The sequence below is a fragment of the Homo sapiens genome, chromosome 13, assembly GCF_000001405.40.
Source record: "Homo sapiens chromosome 13, GRCh38.p14 Primary Assembly".
NCBI lineage: Eukaryota > Metazoa > Chordata > Mammalia > Primates > Hominidae > Homo > Homo sapiens.
This window is the reverse complement of record NC_000013.11, coordinates 22,946,635-22,949,969: the sequence shown is the minus strand read 5'-3', so window position 1 is coordinate 22,949,969 and position 3,335 is coordinate 22,946,635. Positions and strand designations below refer to the sequence as shown.

At 46.8% G+C, this 3,335-nt stretch overlaps 1 annotated feature.

Annotated features, from left to right (window-relative positions):
* Positions 1,655-1,824: an enhancer, noted in NCBI's record as "experimental_32642 CRE fragment used in MPRA reporter constructs". NCBI's record gives its function as "activates a minimal promoter by MPRAs in K562 erythroleukemia cells, with activity observed for the introgressed 13:23522370 variant allele {active_cell/tissue: K562}" and the evidence as "EXISTENCE:reporter gene assay evidence [ECO:0000049][PMID:34662402]".

Here is a 3,335-nt window from a genome sequence, read left to right as displayed (position 1 = left end):
TATATATATGTTATATATAAAGTAGTATATATACATATGCATATGTATGTCTAATGTAGATTGCCTAATGATACTTTTGTCACTAGGCAATCTACATTATCACTAGGCAATCTACATATTTAGGAGTAAGCCTTGTAAGTCTTCCGAGTTGCTGCCACTCTCAACCTCTTTCTACTGCCACCTGTCTGGAGCAGGGAGGACTCAGCCCACCCAGTAGCCAGCATCCATTTCAGAAGAGGTAGGTAGGTTGATTTGAGAAGGGAGGGATAAAGCCATGCTTCCAGCATCCCTCTTCCACGATTTAAAGTGGAAAGTCACATCAGACCTCTCTTCAAATGCCCCAAGTCTCTGCCCTTGACTTGAAAGAAAGAGACCAGATGCCCCTAGGAGGACCAGGTGGCCAAAGCCACCTACCTCTGGAGCTTTTCTTTTCTTTTTTCTTTTCTTTTTTTTTTTTTTTTTTGAGACAGAGTCTCGCTCTGTCGCCCAGGCTGGAGTGCAGTGGTGCAATCTTGGCTCACTGCAAGCTCTGTCTCCCGGGTTCACGCCATTCTCCTGCCTCAGCCTCCCAAGTAGCTGGGACTACAGGCGCCCACCACCACGCCTGGCTAATTTATTTTTTATTTTTTATTTTTAGTAGAGACAGGGTTTCACTGTGTTAGCCAGGATGGTCTTGATCTCCTGACCTTGTGATTCGCCCACCTCGGCCTCCCAAAAACCTCTGGAGCTTTTCAAGGGAAGTTGTGCCTCCGATTCTGCCAAGGATGAAGTGTCTCTAAACATCAGTCAGTTAATATTTTGCGAGTCACAAAGTCTGCAACGAAGTGACATAAAGGGATAGCTTTTCTCTCTCACAGCAGTGACTGGTCAGGGACCAGTGGAGCAGAGTAAGGAGAATGGCTAAAGGAGACACCGAGGGATGCTCGGAGGGGACGCTCAGAGCCGCCCCCCGGACCATGGTCCAGACACCTCTGCGGCGAGTCCCGGTGTCAGGAGCAGGTGAGGGGAGGCTCAGGGAATAACCACTGAATCACAACATTGTAAGTCATTTTAAAAGCAATTTATTTGTCAGCTCCTCCTTCCTTTCCTCCTTCATCAGCTCACCCTCAGCCCCGTGGCAGGCGTGTGAGTGAGTGAGATATGCTCCTGTGGCCTCAGATGCCATCCTGAGCCTCACGACTCTCAAACCCTTTTTAAGCGCTGCTGACCCGCGGCTGTGTCTGACCGCTGCCCGTCAATGGTACCCCTAACTTCAATGTGAGAATTCACCTCGCATCCTCTGCCCTGGAGCATACCTTTTTCTTTCAGGGTGGGAAGCATTGAGCAGAAGAAAGAAATTTAACACAAGAGATGCGAGAAGCCCAGTCACGGCCCTGCCCACCCCACTGCTAGGCTGCACCCATCATCTGGGACACCCGAGCAATTGGAGGGCAGCAAGGAACGCAGGGGGTGCTGTGCTGGGCCGATGGTGCTGTGGGTGCATCGTCCTAGAGACAGAGTGGATGAGAGCCACTCAGGAGGCAGTCCCTGAATCCTGGCATTGGGGGAGGAGTGCACTTGGAGAACCCAGAGAGGCCCTCAGATCCCTGGACGGTTAGCCCAACAGTCACCAGATTGCCTATTTGGTGGAACAGATGTGTATACATCAACCTTTTTGCTCTGGAGAGAAATACATACACTTATTCCCTGGGTTGGTTACTACTTTTGATGGAACTACCCCCCTGTGGGAGGCTCTTTGGTAATAGATACCTGGATAATGGCAGCCGGGCACGGTGGCTCACACCTTTAATCCCAGCACTTTGGGAGGCCGAGTCAGGCGGATCATGAGGTCAGGAGATTGAGACCATCCTGGCTAACATGGTGAAATCCTGTCTCTACTAAAAATACAAATAATTAGCCGGTGTGGTGGCGGGCGCCTGTAGTCCCAGCTACTTGGGAGGCTGAGGCAGGAGAATGGCGTGAACCCGGGAGGCAGAGCTTGCAGTGAGCCGAGATTGCGCCACTGCACTCCAGCCTGGGCGACAGAGCCAGACTCCGTCTCAAAAAAAAAAAAAAAAAAGATACCTGGATAACGGCTCCACTCTCTTCCTAGAATTTTTTGTCCATTGAACTATGTGTATATGTGGGGGTGGGAGTCATCAACAAGAGCCAGTGGTCAGCAGAGGGTGGGCACATGGCCAGGCTGGCTGGTCACACCAGGGGTGAGGATGGGGAACCGGCTGCAGAATCAGTTATGACGGGCTTTGTCCTGGGAACATAAGCATAAAGTATCTCTAGGCAATCCACTTTTATTGTCAGCCTCATCAACAAGTCTCAGGAGATAAACTTACCATCATCTCAGAGGATATAGCCTGGGTTTATTTTACCCTCCTTCCCAGCAGAGGCTCTTAGATAACAAGAGCTACAAGGATGACCTTAGCCTGATAAAACGCAGCCACAGCCAGCCTGTATCAAAGCTCAAGCTTCCCATGAAACTCCAGATGCAGTCCCATTAAAGTGGAAAGCAGGGAGTTGACTCTCTCATAGCCATCACTCAGCATGGTCTGATGATCCAGCCAACGTTGCAAGACAAGATGGAAAAAGAGGAGTGAGGATTGGAAAGGAGGAGACATAAATTTTCATATTTTTGGGGTAGACAATATAACTTTCTGCATACAAAAATTTTTAAGACTTTACAATGAGAGCTAATGAGGTTTAATATAAGAAGATATAAAAATCCACAGCACTGCTATGCACTAGCCAACACTAACAGGAGACTGTAATAGAAAAAACACACCATTCGCAATAGCAATAAAACTCTAAGGTATTTAGAAATAAGTATAATAAAGATGTGGGACATTTTAAATGAGAAACTAATACAATTTTTTTGAGGGCTATAGATGAAGATTTAACTAATTGGAAGGCTACATCATGAATACAAAAACTCAGTTTCAAATGTTCAGCTCTCCTCTAAAATAATCAATAAATTAAATGCAATTTCATTAAAATCCTAGCAGCGTTTTCTCATGGCACCTGATAAGATGGATTACCCCTTCGCATGGAATAGTAAAGGACCCAGGATGGTGAAGACAGGTTTGAAGAAGAAGCAGAGGGTAGATATGTTTTCTCTACCAAATACCAAGAGATTTCCTCTAGAGTTTTGATAGAGACTATTCAAGAATAAACAGATCAGCAGAACAGAACAGAAAGGCAAAAGCAGACCTGCACAGAGTGGAAACCCGGTACGCACCACAGGGATCCATACATCAACAGGAACAACTGTTCGTTGGTCAAATGTCACTGACAGAGAGGTAAAATATTCATATTATTATCTAACACTGCACCAGGAATAAAGT